Source organism: Homo sapiens, chromosome 17 (assembly GCF_000001405.40).
Source record: "Homo sapiens chromosome 17, GRCh38.p14 Primary Assembly".
NCBI classification, from domain to species: Eukaryota; Metazoa; Chordata; class Mammalia; order Primates; family Hominidae; genus Homo; species Homo sapiens.
Window position 1 is genome coordinate 44,932,994 of NC_000017.11, and position 21,579 is coordinate 44,954,572.

The 21,579-nt window shown below is 47.5% G+C and overlaps 1 protein-coding gene and 1 non-coding gene across 11 annotated transcripts in view, besides 3 other annotated features; both read right to left on the reverse strand.

Annotated features, from left to right (window-relative positions):
- Window positions 1–14,780, reverse strand: part of KIF18B (kinesin family member 18B) — a 23,063-nt gene extending 8,283 nt beyond the window's left edge. For 3 of the 10 annotated variants that reach the window (NM_001265577.2, XM_011524386.3, NM_001264573.2), the window contains exons 1-7: window positions 14,635–14,780; window positions 3,039–3,365; window positions 2,266–2,423; window positions 1,838–1,942; window positions 1,514–1,624; window positions 1,240–1,437; window positions 930–1,106 (exon numbers count right to left, since the gene is read on the reverse strand). In NM_001265577.2, coding sequence (NP_001252506.1) covers window positions 930–1,106; window positions 1,240–1,437; window positions 1,514–1,624; window positions 1,838–1,942; window positions 2,266–2,423; window positions 3,039–3,351 — 1,062 coding nt within the window. In that variant the 5' untranslated portion in view covers window positions 3,352–3,365; window positions 14,635–14,780. Of the gene's footprint in view, window positions 1–929; window positions 1,107–1,239; window positions 1,438–1,513; window positions 1,625–1,837; window positions 1,943–2,265; window positions 2,424–3,038; window positions 3,366–14,227 lie in introns of all 10 variants that reach the window. The other 7 variants (XM_011524387.3, XM_011524385.3, XM_011524389.3 and 4 more) reach the window with 5 other exon arrangements.
- MIR6783 (microRNA 6783) lies at window positions 1,625–1,688 on the reverse strand. The gene has a single exon (NR_106841.1). It is a non-coding gene; the product is annotated as a microRNA 6783 (primary transcript).
- Window positions 14,498–14,557: an enhancer, noted in NCBI's record as "active region_12267". NCBI's record gives its function as "activates an Ori minimal core promoter by ATAC-STARR-seq in GM12878 lymphoblastoid cells {active_cell/tissue: GM12878}" and the evidence as "EXISTENCE:reporter gene assay evidence [ECO:0000049][PMID:35858748]".
- Window positions 14,750–15,269: an enhancer, noted in NCBI's record as "H3K27ac-H3K4me1 hESC enhancer chr17:43025111-43025630 (GRCh37/hg19 assembly coordinates)". NCBI's record gives its function as "activates a minimal SCP1, AML or CMV promoter by ChIP-STARR-seq in naive H9 embryonic stem cells {active_cell/tissue: H9 hESC(naive)}" and the evidence as "EXISTENCE:reporter gene assay evidence [ECO:0000049][PMID:30033119]".
- Window positions 20,677–20,942: a silencer, noted in NCBI's record as "fragment chr17:43031038-43031303 (GRCh37/hg19 assembly coordinates)". NCBI's record gives its function as "represses an EF-1alpha promoter that drives an FKBP-Casp9 reporter gene in an ReSE screen in HepG2 liver carcinoma cells {active_cell/tissue: HepG2}" and the evidence as "EXISTENCE:reporter gene assay evidence [ECO:0000049][PMID:32094911]".

Sequence of the window (21,579 nt, forward strand, 5' to 3'; positions counted from 1 at the left end):
GGGGAACAGGAGAGAGATTTATTTGTTCATTCAAAGCAGCTTTTATCAGCCACCGCCGATGGCCAGGCACTGCACTAGGTCTCTCCCACGTCCCCATGACCCACCCTCGCAAGTGGGGAGACACAGCAGAGAAGGTCAGTATCATGCCTGAGACCACAGCGAGGGGCAGAAGACCCCTGACTCCACGACTAAGACCTTCTTGCCAGGGTTAGGGTGTTCTTGCAGTGGTCCCAGGAGAGCCAGGGCTCCCTGGGGGGAGGGAGGAAGAGAGGGGTCAAGCAGATGTGGCAGAAAGCATATATTGGTGTTTATGTTTTGCTGAAAATATGCTCCCACTGCTAAAAACAAGTCTGAACTAGACCACTGGCCAATGAGAGGCCACCCTCCTGCCGTCTCCCTTGGTTTTGGAGAACATCTTGCCCCTCTCAGCTGGTGGCTTCCCACCCAGGGATGGGGACTGTGTCGCTTCTATCACAAAGACTCTCTGAAGACAGAGGAACTTCTTTTTTTTTTTTTTGAGACAGAGTCTAGCTCTGTCGCCCAGGCTGGAGTGCAGTGGCATTATCTCAGCTCACTGCAACCTTCATCTCCTGGGTTCAAGCGATTCTTCTGCCTCAGCCTCCAGAGTAGCTGGGATTACAGGTGCCCACCACCATGCCCAGCAGATTTTTGTATTTTTAGTAGAGATGGGGTTTCATCATGCTGCCCAGGCTGGTCTCGAACTCCTGACCTCTGGTGATCTGCCCACCTTGGTCTCCCAAAGTGCTGGGATTACAGGCATGAGCCACCATGTCCAGGCCAGAGGAACTTCCTTCCTCTGCCTTGGGGACACTTGGCCCAGGGATCTATTGGAGCTGCCTGGGTCCCACCCTTTCCTGCTCCCCGGCTGGAGCTGCCCCACGCCCAAGCCGGCCCTGGCTGGCACGCACCGAGAGCCTGATCTCCTTGGCCCGGTCGGCATATTTGAGGGTGTTGTACGTGTCCTCGTAGGTCAGGCTGGAGGGGCTGATGGCAGCGATCATCACTGTGCGGCAGTTGCCCCCGAGGGAGTCTTTGAGCAGGCGGGTCAGTTTGCTGTCCCGGTAGGGCACATGGGTCTTGCGGCCCTGGGGGGCAGTAAGCAGGTGTGGGGTGAGGCGACTGATGGCACTGACCCAGGATGGGGCCCTGTGGCCTTTGGCCCTGGGTTCAGGTGCTCAGTTGCTATCCTGGGGAGAATACTGGCCTGTGCTGCTTTACCTTTGCATCGGCCAAGGCATTGAGGACGTTGATGAGCGCCAGCAGAGAGCGGTTGATGTTGGCCCCCTCCCGCAGCCGCTCCCCCTTCGCATGGGTGCTGGATGCCCGCTCTGAGCCAGCCAGGTCAATCAGGCTCATCTTGGCCACCTGGACAGCCTGGGTCAGTCCTGGAACCCGGTCCTGCTGCTTCACAAAGATCTGAAGGCAGATGGCAGGGGTGAGGGGGAGATGGGCATCAGGGGCACTGGTTTCAGGCTCTGACCCATGACCTCACCTGGAAGATGGCATGGGAGCGGGAGGAAGTCGCGTTGGCATCAGTGGGGTGCTGCGTGCGGTTACGGTTCCCCCTGGTCAGTATCTCCAGCAGCTGCTCGGCTGAGGCTGGCTACAGAGGAGAAGCCCAGGAACGGGGCTGTGGGTTCCCGGATCAGGACTTTTCCCCTAACAGGAAGGGCTGCTCTTCAGAATCTACATCACCCCCTTGCTACCACCACCACTGCTACCACCATCACAGGACCCAGGGCATCCCCAAACAGTTTTGTGAGGGAACCCCAAGGACCCATGGGGCCGATCATCCTACCCGAGCCCAATCCCACACCTGGTGGAAAGAAAGTCCTTGCACCACCACCCCCTTGTCGGGGTCCTCGCGGATGGCAAGGGGCCCCTTGGGCTCCAGGAGGTCATGGATCTGTTCATTATACACCTGAGAAAGGAAGAAAGGAAGAGGCCTGAGGGAGAGCGGCCCATCAGGAAACCTCTCCCTAGCGGCTGGACAGGGGAGCTGAGGCCGGGATGTATCTGAGACACCCACAGAAGTGGCGCTTCCCAGGACTGTGTTACATGACCACAGCAGGGTGAACAGGCGGGTGTCTCTAGTGCAGCATCTCACTGAGCAGTATCTATCTCCTTGAGGGGTGCCAGCTCTCCATTTCCTGCCACCCTGTCCCACACCAGCTCACTCCACCCCATGGGCTCACTTCCCCCCGGGTGGTTGTGAGAACAAGGCCCAGGGCAGGGGCAGCCGACCTCCTGGTAGCTGATGAGCACCTCGAAGTGCTTCTCCTGCTGGCGGGCCTCCAGGCGCCTGTACAGTTCCACGGTGGTCAGGTACATGATGCCGGGGTCCCCCTCCCTTCCCAGCATGGTGTGTGTCTTCCCAGCCCCGGTGGCCCCGTAGGCAAACACTGCAGAGGACATAGTAAGGAGGAGGACCCCAGTGCCTTGCCACCCAGCTCAGCCCTTCCCTCCTCCCTCAAGCCCCTTTCCTTTTCCTCCTGTGTTCCCTGGTCCATTAATCCCACTAATCACACCCTCCATGTTCCCGCTGCAGGGCTGGAGTTCTCTGTGTGTTTGTTCTGTTCCCCCATAGGCCAGTGGATTTGGGATGACCTGATCTCCACTATGGGTGCGGGCTATGCCTTCCTTCTGTAGGTGAGGCAGCTTTTGGTGTTGAAGGCTCACAGTTATCTCCCTCTTACCACTTACCCTGGTTTATCCCCACACACTGTGGGTGTGATCTGTGAGTGGTGTCTTCTCCCCTCTAGACTGTAAGCACCAAGTGGACAGGAACTGTCCTGTCTGATTTGCTGTTGCAGTCCTGGGCCCAGTAGAGTGCCTCCCCCATAGACTGAATGAATGAATGAGTGTCCCACAGAGCATGATGGGACATTGTACAAAACTCCTTAGTAAATCGTGCCCAGCTTGGGGGAGGCGGGCACATGCCAGAAGACACATGAAACCCTTCCCTTAGGAGGAGGCAGGGAGGCCAGGCCACTGCCAGGCAGGGCTGAGGTTCTCACCTGAGCAGTTGTAGCCCTGGAGGAAGCTGTCCAGGACGCTGTGCGTGGTGTGCTGGAACACGTCCTGTTGGGTGGCCGCCTCGCCAAAGACCCGGTCAAAGACAAACGTCAGGTCTTTGCCCTTCTTCTTGGGGCCATCATGGGTGCCACCCCATTTCAGGCCAGGGAACCCTCCATCGGGCTCCTCAGGGTTAAACACCAGCACCCGCTCGTCCACCACCTGAACCACTGGCCGCCGCTGACTGTCCAGCTCCCGAGGGGTGGGGGGCCGCACCCGTACCACTACTTGCAGCGTGCTGTCCTCCACTGCCATCACTGTGGTGACACCTGGGTGAGACATGGTGGAGCTGAGGACCAATCCCACCCCAGGCCTGACCAGGTGCCCCCTCAGTACTCCAAGGTCCCCTCCACCCACTCCCAATGACTGGTCTCTGTTTTATGCCTCAAGAGAGTAAAAATATTGGTGCTGAAACCAATTATATCTCTTTCTCACTTGAAATACCATCTTTGTCATACTCAAATGACTCTCTCTCTCTCTCTCTCTCTCTCTCTCTCTCTCTCTCTCTCTATATATATATATATATATATATATATTTTTTTTTTTTTTTTTTTTTTTTTTTTTTTTTGAGACGGACTCTTGCTCTGTCGCCCAGGCTAGAGTGCAATGGCATGATCTCGGCTCATTGCAACCTCCACCTCCCAGGTTCAAGCGATTCCCCTGCCTCAGCCTCCTGAGTAGCTGGGATTACAGGTGTGTGCCACCATGCCTGGCTAATTTTTTTTTGTATTTTTAGTAGAGATGGGGTTTCACCATGTTGGTCAGGCTGGTCTCGAACTCCTGACCTCATGATTCGCCCACCTCAGCCTCCCAAAGTGTTGGGATTACAGGCATGAGCCACCGCGCCAGGCCTCAAATGACTATATTGTTAGAGGCCTCTTACTGGGCTTTCTAGTATGTTCCACAAATCCATTTGTCTATTCTTTTTTTTTTTTTCTTACCTTTCATAACCCTCATGTATCTCTGTCTATTCTTGGGCCAGTGCCACACTGTTTCCATATTACTTTACAGTATGCTTTCCAGCTAGTAAGGCAAGAACCTCTTCATTACTCTTTCTTTTCTATAGCTTTCTTGGCTATTTTCAGGCATTTATTGTGCTACTTGATTTTAAGAAAATTTTATCAATTCTACCCCCAACCTAGAGCCCTCTCCTCCCTCAAAAACCCTACTGGGGCTACAGTTTGAATTGTATTACATTTACGTATTTATTATACTGAGCCTTTTATTTTATTTTTTTACTTTACATAAGCCTTTAGCAGCCAAGTGTATTAAACTCTTTCAGGCAAGATTGTGGCTACTGCCTTTCTTTTTGTTCAGATATTTTTTATGTCCCTCAATAAGATTTTATAGTTTTCTATCTCTTCAGTTAGTTCTGTAATTGTCCTTTTAATATATTTCTCAGGTATTTTATGTACTTAATTGCTCCCGTGGATGGAACACTTTTCCCCATTTACATTTCCAGCTGATAATTACTAGTATGGAGGAACACAACTAATTTTAGATATTCACACGATATCTACCATCCCCAAACTCTCTTATTAATTTCATTTATTTTTATTAGAACTTATTGGGTTTTCTAAGTATACAATTATGTATCAGAAGAGGAAAAAATTTTTACCTTTTCTTCTCCATATTCATACCCAATATTTCATTTCTTGTCTATTGCAGTCTCTAGAATTTCTAAAACAATGTTGAATAATAATGATGATAATGTGCATTCTTGTTTTGTTTCTGATTCTAAAGGAAATGGCTTTAGTGCTTCCCTATTTAGACATTAGTTTTATACAAGTAGTCTTTATAACATTAGCAATTTCTTCTATTCTTGTTTTACTTGGGGTTATTGTTAGGAAAGTCTAGAATTTTATCAATGCTCTTTCAGCATCTCCATACACACACACACACACACACACACACACACACACACACACATATATATTTTTTTTGAGATGGAGTTTCACTCTTGTTGCCTAGGCTGGAGTGCAATGGTGCGATCTCAGCTCACTACAACCTCTGCCTCCCAGGTTCAAGCAATTCTCCTGCCTCAGCCTCCCCAGTAGCTGGGATTACAGGTGCCCGCCGGTGCGCCCAGCTAATTTTTGTGTTTTTAGTAGAGACGGGGTTTTGCCATGTTGGCCAGGCTGGTCTCAAACTCCTGACCTCAGGTGATCTGCCCACCTTGGCCTCCCAAAGTGCTAGGATTACAGGTGTGAGCCACTGCACCTGGCCCTCCCAATATATTTATGTGCTTTTTTCTCCCTTATTTTGTTGCTATGGTAATTTATTAGATATTATTCCTGATATCAAACCAACCATGCATTCCTGGAAAAAATTCTACCCTGGCCATAGTGAAGTTTTTAACACTTAAATAGTCAGACATGTCAATCTTTTCTTTTATAGCTTTTATGTCATACTTAAGAAGACATTTCTTCTCCAAGGTAATAAATCCTCTTCTTATATTTCTATCTAATATTTTTTCTTTCTTACATTTAGGTTGTCATGGAGATGGAATTTTTTTTGTGTGTGTGAACTGTGTGAGGAAGTTTCTAAATATCTTTTCTTTCTAATTGGTAAGCAATTATCCCCAAGGTCATTTATCGAATAGTGCATTCTTCCTCCACCAATTTGAAATGCCAAATTTAACATAACTAAAGTCTCATAGAAACATGAATTTGTGGCTGGGTGTGGTGGCTCATGCCTGTAATCCCAGCACTTTGGGAGACCAAGGTGGGCGGATCATCTGAGGTTGGCAGTTCGAGACCAGCTTGACTAACATGAAGAAACCCCGTCTCTACTGAAAATACAAAATTAGGCGGGTGTGGTGGCACGTGCCTGTAGTCCCAGCTACTTGGGAGGCTGAGGCAGGAGAATGGCTTGAACCTGGGAGGTAGAGGTTGCGGTGAGCTGAGATCGTACCACTGCACTCCAGCCTGGGCAACAAGAGTGAAACTCCATCTCAAAAAAAAAAATTAATTAATTAAAAAAAAAGGAACATGAATTTGTGCCGGGTGCGGTGGCTCATGCCTGTAATCCTAGCACTTTGGGAGGCCGAGGTGGGCAGATCACCTGAGGTCAGGAGTTTGAGACCAGCCTGGCCAACATGGTGAAACCCTGTCTCTACTAAAAATACAAAAATTAGTCGGGCACGGTGGCGGGCGCCTGTAATCGCAGCTACTCGGAAGGCTGAGGTAGGAGAACCGCTTGAACTTGGGAGGCGGAGGTTGCAGTGAGCTGAGATCGCACCATTGTACTCCAGCCTGGGTGACAGAGACTCCATCTCAAAAAAAAAAAAAAAAAAAAAAAAAAGAAACATGAATTTGTTTCTGGACTTTCTCTTCTGTTTCGTTATGTCCATTCCTTTTCCAGTACCTCACTGTTGTAATTACTGTGGTTTTATCATATATCACCTCATTGCTCTTTTTCTTGGCTATTTTTAGGTATCTTGTCTTACATATGATTTTAGAATCAGCTTATGAACTTCTATGAAAAATCCTGCTAAGATTTTAATTTGGATTATTTTGAATTTATAGATTAATATGAGGAAAATTGGCATCTTTACAATATCAAGTGTTCCCACCTAGGAACTGATATCTCTTTCCATTTATTCACACCTTTACAGTCTTTAGTAAAATTTTATAATTTTCTTCACATGGGTATTATATATTTCTTGATAGGTTTATTACTAGTTATTACATGATCTTTGCTATATTATGAATAGGCTCCTTATTTTATTTTTATTTTTTTTTTAGACTGAGTCTCGCTATCGCCCAGGCTGGAGTGCAGTGGCACGATCTTGGCTCACTGCAACCTCCGCCTCCCAGGTTCTCTTGCCTCAGCCTCCTGAGCAGCTGGGATTACAGGCGTGTGCCACCACGCCCAGCTAATTTTTGTATTTTTAGTAGAGGTGGGGTCTCCAACTCCTGACCTCAAGCGATCCACCCGCCTTGGCCTCCCAAAGTGTTGGGATTACAGGCGTGAGCCACTGCGCCCACCCACTCCTTTTAAAATCACATTTTCAAACTCCTTCTTTCCAGAAGATAGGAAAGCTACTGATTTCTGCATGCAGATCTTGTATCTGGCCACATTGCTGAACTCCCTTATTGGTTCTAATAGATTGTCATTGATTATCTTAAGTCTTTCAATTAAATGATGATATCGTTTGCAAATAATGAGAGTTACTTTCTATTTTTAGCTCTTCTATGTTTAGCTCCCCACCTCCACTGCCCATTAGGAAGGTAGGAATGGGTGTTGAATTTTATCAAATGCTTTTTGGCACTTGTTGAAGTGATCACACATATTTCTCCTTTAATCTATTAATGTAGAGGGTGACTCAACAGATTTCCTAATGTTGACCTGGTAATAATTCCAAACATATATTTACTCATTCACTCTTATATCATCCCCAGACCTCTCTCCCTGGTTTTTCATTTCTCTTTCGAAACAGCGTACCAAAGGTAGGGATGGAATTTTTGGAATGCAGCGTACCAAGGGTAGGGATGGAATTTTGGAATGCAGCCTGGAAAAGTTCAGCCCAACTCTGGGGATATATTGACAGGGGTGAGGAACAGGGGCTGTTCCTGGGCGTTATGAATAGATGGATGCCTTCCAGGTAAAGACTAGCTTCCACTGGTGGGTCACAAATGCCAAGGTCATTCAGCAAAGAAAAGTGGGGTTTCTACCTGACACTCTAGCAAACAGCTAAGGTTTTCCTTGGGGAATGAGACAGAACTGAGCTGATTTGAAACTCCTGTCCCCTCATCCCTAAACTTCTTAACTTCGTCCCCATATAAAACAAGAAAAAGATATCAACCAACCATAATCCTTTTACATGTATGTAATTCTATTCCTGTCCCAGCAATCAGATTGCCATAGTAAGCATATTAGCTAAGTGCTCACTGCATCAGGAACTGTTCAAAGCACCTTATGCATATCATCTCCTTTTATCCCCATTGCAATCTCACAAGATGGATACTATTATTATACTCATTTTTCAATGAAGAAATTGAGACAGAGAGGGTTAAGCAATTTGCCCAAGGTCTCAATGCTAGTGAGTGATGGAGCCCCATTCCAATCCAGGCAGTCTGACTACACATCGGGCTATACTGCCTTATAGTGATATTATATATTATGCTACAATGATCACATCATTGTAATAGTCCCTTATGTTTGTATAATAATTATAATTCCTTTTATGGAATTAGCGTTCTGTATTCTACACTTTCAAATATATGGACTGTACCTAATTTTCTTTTTCTTTTTTTTTTTTTTTTGAGACAGAGTCTCGCTCTGTCGCCCAGACTAGAGTGCAGTGGCACGATCTTGGCTCACTGCAACCTCGGCCTCCCAGGTTCAAGGAATTCTTCTGCCTCAGCCTCCCCAGTAGCTGGGATTACAGGCGCCCACCATTACGGCCAGGTAATTTTTGTATTTTTAGTAGAGATGAGGTTTCACCATGTTGGCCAGGCTGGTCTCGCACCCCTGACCTCAGGTGATCCGCCTGCCTTGGCCTCCCAAAGTGCTGGGATTACAGGCGTGAGCCACTGCACCCAGCTGTACCTAATTTTCAACAGAGAGGGTTCCTGTCTCCTACTCTTGCAGACCTACCCCCAGGAAACCCCACTTTGGCACCCGGGGAAGGGAAGGCAGAGGGTGCCTGGGTCCACATTTCCCAGCAGTCCCTGCTCCCCATGGGGAGGGCTTTAGCTGAGGAGGAGCCACAGAGCAGCCTAACATTCTAAGCAGGAAATTAAAAAGGGCACTGGCAAAGGAGTGCTCATAACCTTTACAGTTCTCTCCTCCCGCCTCCTGAGGGCCAGTGTGGCTGAGTCTGTTTGCCTAATGAGATGTTTTCCTTCTTGCTGAGATGGTGCTGGGGGCGTGGGGCACAAAGTGTGGATGACACTTGGCATAGCCGCCGCTAGGATGCCTGGGTCCTGGTCCCTGTTCAGCATCTGACCAAGGGGGAGGTCTTTCCACAAGCCACACCAGGTCAATGTCGCATCAGCTTCCCTCTTTGAGAACCAGAGAAAACAGCTACCGATCTGCTCCCGCCCCAGGGGATGGGGAGATTAATGAGAGAATGTGTGTCAAGTTTGCTTTGATCCTTGGTTGGAAAGAGCATTTCAGCCCAAAGTACAAGGGAGATGATTCTTTAATAAGATCTTCAGGATTCTCAGCCAGCCACAGTCACGTCCTGTTTCTAACCCAGGGCAGCTCATTAAAACCCAGAGGCTAGTGCTCTGCCAGGCTGGGGCTGGGAAGCCAAGATTCTGTTGTTTTGGGGAGAGCCTGCTCTGCCCACCCTAGTAGAGACAGGTCCAGTGAGCCCAAGCTCCTCACAAGTCCCTGGAGAAGAATTTCAGAGGACTTGAGGGAATCTACCTGCAGACTCTGGAAGCTGAGGAACGTAGTAGGGGTGAGGGGGTAGGGGAAGAAGCCCAGCCCCTGGACGTCCTATTTTTACAGGCGATGCTGTAGCCCCCTTCATCTCTCCTTCACAACCCTAATACACTTGTTTTTTTGTCCTTAAACTCCAAGAGGAGGACCTTCTTCTGACATAGTCTGTGTACCCCAGGTGCCTGGGCACCCGGCCCAGCATGCAGCAGATGCTGAATTTGTCCTATGAATAAATAAGGGCCAGAGAAGAGCAGAGTCTGAATCCAAAAATCTAAAAATAATTATTATTACAGCTAACATTTACTTAGTGCTTACTATGAATTAGACACTATGCTAAGTGCTTTACAAATGGTGTTTAACTTTCACAACAATTGTCATATCCCTACTGTACAAAAGGAACAGGAGGCACAGGAACTTGTCTCCCAAATGTGAAGTAGCAAGGCTAGAACTTGACCTTCTGTCACCAGGGGCACTACCCCATCCTTAGGCTGTTCTGCCCTGCAATTGGGCTTGGGTAGCTCCCATCTCCCCCTCACCTTGGTACCCACAAAAGAACAGCACCCCCGATCCACTGGTTCTTCCTACATGTTGTGGTCATGCAGAGGAAGAAATTGTGTTTTTTTTGTTTTTTTTTTGAGGGAGAGTCTCGCTCTGTCGACCAGGCTGGAGTGCAGTGGCGCCATCTCGGCTCACTGCAAGCTCCGCCTCCTGGGTTCATGCCATTCTCCTGCCTCAGCCTCCCAAGTAGCTGGGACTACAGGCGCCCGCCACCACGCCCGACTAATTTTTTGTATTTTTTAGTAGAGGCGGGGTTTCACCGTGTTAGCCAGGATGGTCTCGATCTCCTGACTTTGTGATCCACCCGCCTCGGCCTCCCAAAGTGCTGGGATTACAGGTGTGAGCCACCGCGCCTGGCCTCTTTTGTTTTTTTAAATAGACAATCATAAGGCTGTAATTGATGATAGCGTTGTTAGTTTCTTTCTAATCTTATTTTATTTTTATTTATTTTTCTTGTCTTACATTTCTGGTTAGGACCTCCAGCACAATATTGAATAAAAGCAGTAATAGTGAGTATCCTTGCCCCTTTCCTGATTTTATAAAGAATCCTTCTACTATTTCACACTTTGTTGGTTTAAGGAAATTTGTCTCCATTTCTAGTTTACCTATATATATTTAAAAGTCATGAATGGATATTGAACTTTATTGAATTCTATTTTCTTTTCCTTTTCCTTTTTTATTTTTTTAGACCAGGTCTCATGTTGTTGCCCAGGCTGGAATGCAGTGGTGGGATCACCACTCACAGCAGCCTCGAACTCCTGGGCTCGAGCCATCTTCCCACTTCATCATGTCACCTACCTCCCCAGTAGCTGGGACCACAGGTGTGCCACCATCCCTGGCTAATTTTTAATTTTTTTGTAGAAATGATGTCTCACTATGCCGCCCAGGCAGATCTCCAACTCCTGGGCTCAAGTGATCCTCCCACCTCAGCCTCCCAAAGTGCTGGGATTGTAGGAGTGAGCCACCACACCGGCTCCTATTGAATTGTATTTCTGTGCCTAATGGGATATGTTTGCTCTTTAAATCTCTAAATGTGTAAATTATATTAATAGATTTTCCAATGTTAAACCATTCTTGCATTCTTGGGATAAATTCAACTTGGTCATAATCTAGTTTTTAAATACATAACTGGTTTCTGATTGCTAATATTTTAGTAAGATCTTTGCAACTACATTAACGAAACAGATTGACTTGTAATTTTTTTTTTTTCTTTTTTGAGATGGAGTTTTGCTCTTGTTGCCCAGCAGCCTGGAGTGCAATGGCGTGGTCTCAGCTCACTGCAACCTCCGAGTCCCCGGTCCAAGCGATTCTCCTGCCTCAGTCTCCTGAGTAGCTGGGACTACAGGTGCCTGCCACCATGCCCGGCTATTTTTTGTATTTTTAGTAGAGATGGGGTTTCACCATGTCGGTCAGGCTGGTCTCATACTCATGACCTCAGGTGATCTACTGCCTTGGCCTCCCAAAGTGCTGGTGCTGGGATTACAGGCGTGAGCCACCGCGCTTGGCCCGACTTGTAATTTTCTTTGTGTTATTTTTGATATCGTAAAATAGACCCAATATGTTTTCTCTTTTTTATAGGGACGGTTTGTGTAAAGTAGAATCATCTTTTTCAATTGCCTGTAAGTTTCTGGTGGAATTTGGTATAGGTTTTTCATGCCTGTGAAGATACATTTTAAACTAACTCAGTTTCCTCTATGGAAAATTGAATTCCTCAATGGAATAGTCCTAGATCTAGTCAAAATTTCCATAACTTCTTGAGTCAGTTTTGGCAAGTTGTTTTTTCCTAGAAAATTTTCCAAGGGCATTGTCAAAAAGAATGTTCCATTGCCGTTTCTCTTTCTTTTAATCTCTGTAACTGAAGTATGTCCCTATTTTTGCTCCTAAGGTCTTTTTTGTATGTTTTATTTATTTCTCCATCAATATTGCCAGAGGTTTTTAAAATTATTATTCTTTTCTAAGATACAGCATTTGACTAAAATAATCCTATTATATGATAAAACTCTATTTCATTGATTCTGCTTTTAGCTTATTTATTTATTGAGACAGTTTCACTCTGATGCCTAGGGTAGAGTGCAGTGGCGCGATCATGGGTCACTGCAGCCTCAACCTCCTAAGGCTCAAAAGATCCTCCCACCTCAGTCTCCTGAGTAGCTGGGAATCACAGGCACACGCCACCACACCCCCCAATTTTAAATTTTTTTATAGAGATGGGGTTTCACCATATTGCCCAGGCTGGTCTTGAACTCCTGGGCTCAAGCTGTCCACCCGCCTTGGTTTCCCAAACTGCTGGGATTACAGGCGTGAGCCACCATGCCCAGTCTTATCTTCTTTTATATTCTACATATGTTCTCTGCTGTTCTGTCTTATTAAAGTTGGATATTTGCCTCATTAACTTTCAGCTTCTTAAACAAAATGTTCTAATATAAGCATTTAAGACTATAAGTTGCCCTCTAAGTATCGCTTTAACTGCATCCCACAAGTTTTATAAATAGTATTTTTATAATCGCTTCATGTTAATTATCTTTTAATTACAATTATGATTTCCTATTTGACCTACTTAAGTGTATTTTTAAAAAATTTCAGGCCGGGCATGGTGGCTCACGCCTGTAATCTCAGTACTTTGGGAGACCGAGGTGGGTGGATCACCTGACGTCAGGAGTTTGAGACCAGCCTGGCCAACACGGTGAAACCCCATCCCGACTAAAAATACAAAAAATTAGCCGGGTGTGGTGGCGGGTGCCTGTAATGCCAGCTACTCCGGAGGCTGAGGCAGGAGAATCGCTTGAATCTTGGAGGCGGAGGTTGCAGGGAGCTGAGGTGGTACCATTGCACTCCAGCCTGGGCAACGAGGGAAATTCTGTCTCAGAAAAAAAAAAAAAAAAAAAAATCCAAACATGGGCTGGGCACAGTGGCTCATGCCTGTAATTCTAGGGCTTTGGGAAGCTGAGGTAGGAGAATAGCTTGAGGTCAGGAGTTCAAGACCAGCCTGGGCAACATAGGGAGAACTTGTCTCTACTTCCAAAAAAAAAAAAAAATTGTAAATGTGGTATTTATAACGTAATTGCTTATGTAAAAAGATTATGTTTTATACAATACTCTGATAATTGTTTAGATTTGTTTTGTGGCCAGGTAGAAAAACAATTTATAAATTTATAAAATATGCTACATGGATACTTTTTTTAACTTCTATTTTATTTTTTTGCAACAGTATACATGTATACTTTTTTAAAAAGGTATAAATGGAATTCGGTTAGATAATATAAAGACCAACATCTTAAAATAACTCTCTAGAGGTAGGGAAATTCAATAATGAAATGGGCAGAGAATGACTGGATACCTTTGTACTTGAAGCATGGGATGCAGTGACTGGGGAAGAAATAGAATAGGGAGAAGATTGGAGAAAGCAATATAACATTGAGATGTTCTCCTCTAAACTAGGCTTAACTTCTCTGAGCCTCAGTTTTCCAACCTGTACATTGTAAATAATATTAGTATCTACCCCATATATTTGTGAAGATTAAATGAGTTCATTCAAACCCGGTAAGTGCTCAATAGATATTAGTATCACTGTTAGAATTATATGACATATGGCATTTTCCCATGACGATGGAGGAACCAGTGTCTTCAGTAAAATCCCTTAAGTTCTGTGGCACAGACCAGGCTTAATCTTTTCCATGTCACTTCAGTTCCCTAAAAGGTCAAAGCTAAGGGGAGATGCATCCTAGGAGCAGTAACAAAGGCCTGGTCTTCTGTCATATAAATGTTCTTTCACTTGTTCCTTCATTCAATCAAACATTTGGCCAGGCGCAGTGGCTCACATCTGTAATCCCAGCACTTTGGGAGGCCGAAGCGGCGGATCGCCTGAGTCAGAAGTTCGAGACCAGCCCGGCCAACCCTGTCTCTACTAAAAATACAAAAATTAGCTGAATGTGGTGGTGGGCGCCTTTAATCCCAGCTACTCGGAAGGCTGAGGTAGGAGAATCGCTTGAACCCGGGAGGCGGAGGTTGCAGTGAGCCAAGATCGCGCCATTGCACTCCAGCCTGGGAGACAGAGAGAGAGAGACTCCATCTCCAAAAAAAAAAAAAAAAAAAAAAAAAAAAATTTTACTGCGTGCCAGAGCCACCGGCACGTGCAGCTCTGCAATCAGTTCAGTAGATGGGTGGAGGGGGGCTTACATACTCCTCACTGACATGCAGGGAGTCCCAGGCCTTTAGTTGTAGCGTGCAGAAGAGCCCAATTCTTCCTCACTCGCGAGCAGGAGGACCTTTCACGGGGCCGACGTACAGAGGGCCAGGCCCCGGTGGCAGATGTGCAGGCCCAGTCTAGGTCCAGCATAGATGAGCGGAGGGGTCCTGACCACCCGTACGGGTGTGTAAGGAAGCGCTCCGCTTCCCGCCCAGTTTAAAGGGGTCCATGCAGACAGAGCCTGCCGGGGCGGCAGCAAAGCTCGTTCTCCGCGCCGCACCTTGACGTCCAGCACAAAAGAGGCCTGGCACAGGCCTCCCGCCCGGAGCAGCTGGGTCTGCGCGTCCGAGACCTGAGAGCAGGCGTTCGCGCGGTCGGTTCCGCCGTGGGCCAGGACTTACCTTTCGTCGGTTCTCCGCCGCTGGCGTCGCTGCTTGCTCACGGGTCCCACAGCCACACCACAGACAGCAGTACCCACACCGGGAGAGAGCGCCCCACACCCTCCCCTACCCGCGCCAACCTCCACCCGGCGCCTTGCGTTCAAATTAGCCGGGCGGGCCGGACCGTGCTTCCTATTGGTCAGCGTCCGTATCGCTGATTGGCTGTTTCCTAAGTAACAAAGTGTTGCGAGAGCCGTTCACAGTGGGCTTGCTCACTTCCTCTTCCTGTCGGCTGCAGTTTCCCAGGCGGTGTCTCCGGGGTTGGGCACACGAGAGTAGCGGGCAGAAGCCAACGCAGGGTTGGGATACGTGGGGCCACAGCCAGTCTCTGTGGTCCCCGGGTCTAGGCTTAGCACCAGTTACAGCAACCAGACATCCAACAGGTGTTTAAACCTGTTTTTTCTGTAGGCTAAATTCACATCCGTTTGTCAAGAGGGGATTGTCAACCTCTGTCCAGCGTCTCTTTCCGCTGCAGGACCATCCCAAGATGAACTTAAAGGACAGCCTTGATGTGGCAAAGCCGGCGGACGCCAAGAATGGCAATTCCATCCGCTTGGCTTTGACAGTGTCAGAAGCATGATGCCTGACGATTGCGCATGAGGGTCGGCCCCTTGCGGCAGCGGTGGGGTGCACTGCCTCCATAGTACACCGCTGCCCGCTGCTTGGATTCTGGTGGGCCCACCTCATGCTGATTTCCAACACCTGAGGTTGTGGGAGTTGAAGAGTTTCCAGTTGTGGCTCAGTCACTAACTAGTGCTGAGACTGCGAGGCACTTCAGCTCTCTGAGTGTCAGTTTCCTCATCTATAAAATGGGGCCGATATCCTGCCCTTCCTACTCACCTAGGAGAGCGTAGGTATGAAAGCCTTCCAACGTCCCCAGCATATGTAAGGGATAACCTTTATACATTTAATTAGAACCAAATAGGTGAAGGCTGCAAAGAGCCAGGTGCTCATTACTTTTAGGAAATCTTCAGTACATCTGTTCCCACACTGGGACTATGAGCAGGTTTGCGGCATGTAAGAGAAGGGTGAGGCAAAACTCCCTCATCAGACTTGCCATCAGGATAAGGGTTACTATTTAATACCTAGTTGACTTGGCCCAAACTCATTCACCTCCCTGGACCCCAACTGACCCCTATACAATAGAATAGCATTGCTGGTTTGGTGAGGTTAAAACCAGAAAATTATGTGGAGGTGCTGGTCATTGTAAAACTACAAGAAATTTGGAGTACTCTTGCCATCTCCACAACTCATGATAAATAAAAACAAAAAATGAAGGATGGCTTACAGCATAAGGGTCTCTTCCTCCCTTACTGGGATGTGTATTTTAACAGAGGTTTTGGCTCCCCAAGAGCCATCAGGGGAGCCTCTTGTGTCCTATAAGCCAGGTCTTGCCCTGGTCCTCTTCTGGTCCACACAATTAACTGGAGGTTAGGTGAGCCAGGACAAGGCAAGGGGCAGAGTCCAGCCCTGCTGCAGGCAGGGGACAGGGGACACTTACTTGCTGGATAATCTTGGGTAAGTCACCAAGTCTCTCAGAGCCTCAGTTTTTGGAGTTATAAAACAGGGAATGAAAGAATACTTAGCTTGTTACAAAGATTAGAAAAAAAGTAGGTAAAGCCCCTTGCTGACATTCAATAAAATGGTAATGGGTGTTCTCATATTCATTTATTTAACAACTACTTACTAATATGAGACAGGTGGGCTCAGAGAATAGGCTGCTCAGTAATCAACACCCTCCTCCTAGCCTCGTGGAGCTTGCAGCCTATGGGAGAAATTAGACAATTAAGTAGGAACAATGATGTGAGACATAGACTATAATGAGAACATGCAGGGGGAAGCAGGGCTGGGGAGTGGCATGCTAGCTGAGGGCTGTAGGGAGATTGGGAGCTTGCCTGGCAGGTGAGGCTGTTCCTTGGATCTCAGAAGACAAGGGAAGACAATCTCACAGGTGAGAGGGTCAACCTTGGCGAATAGTGCTGAGAGGTCTTGGTAGGGCCTGACCAGGCCCACCTTAGTGAACACAAATGGAAATTTTCCGGGCCCTACACTGCAGATGCTGATAAGGGATGAGATTGGTTTGGAATTAGCCCAACAAGAATTTCAAGGCCTAGAACCCTAACCTGAGGACTGGGTGCAAAATTTTTTTCTTGTGTGGAGGCAGAAGGTGATTCTAGGCTGATGTGATTGGGGTGTGAAAGGCAGCAGGCTCTGTCTTCTTAGGAAGTGTGTGGACATCTCACTACCTGTGACTTCTGAGACCACCGACCCCAGGTGCTCAAAGGAAGCAGAGGAAAGGCACATCCTCCCATCCTCCCACCTGTACCCTTATCATTGCAGAGCCTTTGCTGTACCCTTATCATTGCAGAGCCTTTGCACCACGGTGTGGCATTAGCTACTTTTTTTTTTTTAATTAATTTTTTTTTTTTTTAGACAGAGTCTCGCTCTGTCGCCCAGGCTGGAGTGCAGTGGTGTGATCTCGACTCACTGCAACATCTACCTCCCAGGTTCAAGCGATTCTCCTGTTCTCCTGCCTCAGCCTCCTGAGTAGCTGGGACTACAGGCGTGTGCCACCACGCCCGGCTAATTTTTTGTATTTTTAGTAGAGGCGGGGTTTCACTGTGTTAGCCAGGATGGTCTCAATCTCCTGACCTCCTGATCTGCCCGCTTCGGCCTCCCAAAGTGCCGGGATTACAGGCGTGAGCCACTGCACCTGGCCCGTTTTGGTTTGTTTTGTTTTGAAACGGAGTCTCGCCCTTTCATCCAAGCTGGAGTGCAGTGGCGCGATTTCAGCTCACTGCAACCTCCGCCTCCTGAGTTCAAGCGATTCTCCTGCCTCAGCCTCCCAAATAGGTGAGACTACAGGTACAGACCACCATGCCCTGCTAATTTTTGTAGTTTTAGCAGAGACGGGGTTTCACCATATTGGCCAGGGTGGTCTTGAACTCCTGACCTCGTGATCTGCCCGCCTCAGCCTCCCAAAGTGCTGGGATTACAGACATGAGCCACCGCGCCTGGTCTACTTTGGATATAGGCCAGTTTTAGAAGGTCCTTGAATCAAGTATCCACTTGGTTTAACAAGAGGTCATGGGTGGCCTTTTTTTTTTTTTTTTTGAGACAGGGTCTTGCTCTGTCACCCAGGCTAGAGTGCAGTGGTATGATCTCAGCTCACTGCAATCTCCACCTCCTGGACTCAAGTGATTCTCCCACTTGAGCTTCCCAAGTAGCTGGGACCATAGGTGCACACCACCATTCCCGGCTAATTTTTTTTTTTTTTTGAAAGATGGGGGTTTCACCATGTTGCCCAGGCTGGTCTTAAACTCCTGAGTGCAAGCCATATGCCCACCTCTGCCTCCCAAAGTGCTGGGATTACAGACATGAGCCACTATGCCTGGCCTAGGGTGCCCTTGACAGGAGCAGCTTCAGAGGAGTGACAACAGCCAGATGACAGTGGGATATGAGGACTTTGTAACAACTTTTAAGGTAATTTAGCTATCAAGGGGAGCAGAGAAATGTAGTAGCTGTAAGAGGGGTGTAGGGTCAAGGGAGGATTTTTTTTTTTTTTTTTTTTTGAGACAGAGTTTCGCTCTTGTTGCCTAGGCTGGAGTGCAATGGCATGATCTCGGCTTGCTGCAACCTCTGCCTCCCGGGTTCAAGCGATTCTCCTGCCTCAGCCTCCTGAGTAGCTGGGATTACAGGCATGCACCATCCTGCCCGGCTAATTTTGTATTTTTAGTAGAGACGGGGTTTTCTCCATGTTGGTCAGGCTGGTCTTGAACTTCTGACCTCAGGTGATCCACCCACCTTGGCCTCCCAGAGTGCTGGGATTACAGGTGTGAGCCACTGCGCCCGGCCTCAAGGGAGGAGTTTTAAGGATAGTAGAGTTTTAAATGATGATGGGAAGGAGCCAATATACAATGAGCAGCTGGGCTGAGTGTGGTGGTTCATGGCTATAATTCCAGCACTTTGGGAGGCCAAGGCAGGAGGCTTGCTTGAGGCCAGGAGACAGAGACCAGCCTAGGCAATATAGTGAGACCCCTATCTCTAAAAAAGAAATTAAAAAAAAGAAGAAAAATTAGCCTAGTGTGGTGGCACATGCCCTGCAGTCCCAGCTACTTGGGAGGCTGAGGCAGGAGGATCATCTGAGCCCAGGAATTGGAGGGTTCAGTAAGCTATAATCATGCCACTGCACTCCAGCCTGGGCAACAGAACAATACCATGTCTCTCTCTCTCTCTCTCTCTCTCTCTCTCTCTCTCTCTCTATATATATATATATATATATATATATGTATATATGTATATATACGTATATATATGTATATATGTATATATACGTATATATGTATATATGTATATATACGTATATATATGTATATATGTATATATGTGTGTGTGTATATATATATCAAGAGGTGTGGTTATCAATTAAGTGAAGTCCTGAAAAAGGCTGGAGACTTTTGCCAATCTTTTTCAACCATCCCAATTCATCTGGCTGGGACTTAGGGGTTTCATAGGACTTTCAGTTTTAAACTGGGACAGTCCTGGACAAACAAGGACAAGCTGGTCACGCCGGTGGGAGGGCATAGGATGCAGACAGAGCATCTTCCATGAAAGCAAGAAAGGTGAAGAGGAAGGGCGCAGGTTCAGGGAAGTTTGTGATTTTATGGTGGAAAGTTGATGGGGTGAGGCTGTCTCTTGTGACTTCTGGCTTCTCTGTGGGGTAGGACATGTGATCACCCATTGGGTAGGCACCTTTTACACTCTATCTCCTGCCCTTGCTGCTGGGCCTGCAGATCTATCTATCTGCAGGTACTCAATAGATATTGGCTAAAAGAATCAGTGAATGAATGAGACTGGGGTAGGTCTCACAGGTTGAGTCCTCTGTAGAGAGACCCTGGGACAGAGATCAGGGTGCAGGAAGTTTATTGGAGCGTGCTCTTGGAATTAACACCTGTGTTTTGTTTTGTGCCAGGGTCTTGCTCTGTCGCCCAGACTGGAGTGCAGTGGCAATTGCTCACTGTAGCCTTGAACTCCCAGGCCCAAGTGATCCTCCCATCTCAGCCTCCTGAATAGCTGGGACCACAGGCACACACCATCATGCCTGGCTAGTTTTTGTTTTGTTTTGTTTTGTTTTGTTTTGTTTTGAGACAGGGGTCTCACTATGTCTCAGAGGCTGGTCTCAAACTCCTGGGCTCAAGCAATCCTCCCACCTTGGCCTCCCAAAGTTGAGATTACAGGCATGAGCCACTGCACCTGGCCAAATTAATACCTGTGGAAGAGAAGGAAACAGGATTGGGCAGAGGGAGAAGTTGAACTGGGAACTCTGAAGCGGGGAAGACACTTCAGAGCTGCCCTGAGTAGGGGGTGGAGGGCCAGGCAGATAAAACCCATGCTGATCAGTTATGGGAAGCAGGCTGCTCTGAGAAAGGGGCAGGACATTGAGGAAGGCAGCTCACATCAGCAGGGGAAATCCTGAAAGGGGGCTGGTAGCTAAGAGCCATCTGCTGGCAGCAGTCTCTGGAGTTCGGGGACAAGATCCTTCAGTTCTGAAGGAGACCTGGGCAGTGCACCGCAGCATCCATCACAGCAGAGAAAGGTGAAAGTTTAAGGAGAGTGAGAGATGGTGAAACAACTGCTCTTACGGTAGAATGGCTATTATGCGGCTGGCACAGTGTTACAGTACTGAGTGAGACAGCCCTACTTGGAAGATGCTCAGTCCAGCCTTGGAGGCTTTGGAGCCTTTGGAGAGAGACCTGCTGCGGGAGTGCAGAAAAGCTTCATGAAAGAGCAGCCAATCTGCCTGGGCTTTAAAGAATGAGCAAGCATGGCCGGGCACGGTGGCGCACTTTGGGAGGCCGAGGCGGGTGGATTATCTGAGGTCAGGAGTTTGAGACCAGCCTGGCTAACCTGGTGAAACCCCGTCTCTACTAAAAATATAAAAATTAGCTGGGCGTGGTGGCAGGCACCTGTAATCCCAGCTACTCATGAGGCTGAGGCAGGAGAATCACTTGATCCCAGGAGGTGGAGGTTGCAGTGAGCTGAGATTGCGCCATTGCACTCCAGCCTGGGTGACAGAGCGAGACTCCATCTCAACAACAACAACAACAACAACAACAACAAAAAGAATGAGCAGGCATTCTGCAGGCAACAGAGTAGGCAAGGGCCTAGCAGACACATATCTGGCTCTGGTGAGGCAGGGAGAGGTCTGTAACTATCCTAGCCCAGGCAGTTTTCCTAGTCCAGGCCAGTGCTTACCACTGAAGGAGCAAAGGCCTGTGCCTTGAAGGCCTGGGAAGGAGCCCTCAAATTTTACTTTCATCATCTGGGAATAGGCAGGAGCCCCATCCCCTGAAGAAGCTGCTCTCTGGGTAGTTTCTTTCTTTCTTTTTTATTTTTATTTTAAACAGAGTCTAGCTGTCATCCAGGTTGGGGTGCAACGGCACTATCATAGCTCACTGCAGCCTCGAACTCCTGGACTCTAGTGATCCTCTCACCTCAGACTCCTGAGGAGCTGAGAATACAGGCTTGCGCCACCATGCCGCTAATTTAAATAACTTTTTTGTAGAGACAAGGTCTTGCTTTGCCACCCAGGCTGGTCTCAAATTCCTGGCTTTAAGTGATCCTCCTGCCTGAGTCTCATGAAGTGCTGGAATTACAGGCGTGAGCCACCACACTTAGCTTTCTTTCTTTCTAAAATCCCACATATAATCATTCCCAATCTGGGTTATTTCTTTCTTCATTTCTTATTCTTTCTTTTCTTTCTTTTTCTTTTCTTTTCTTTCTTTTTCTTTTTTTTTTGAGACAGAGTTTCGCTCTTGTTGCCCAGGCTGGAGTGCAATGGCACGATCTCGGCTCACTGCAATCTCTGTCTCCCAGGTTCAAACAATTCTCCTGCCTCAGCCTCCC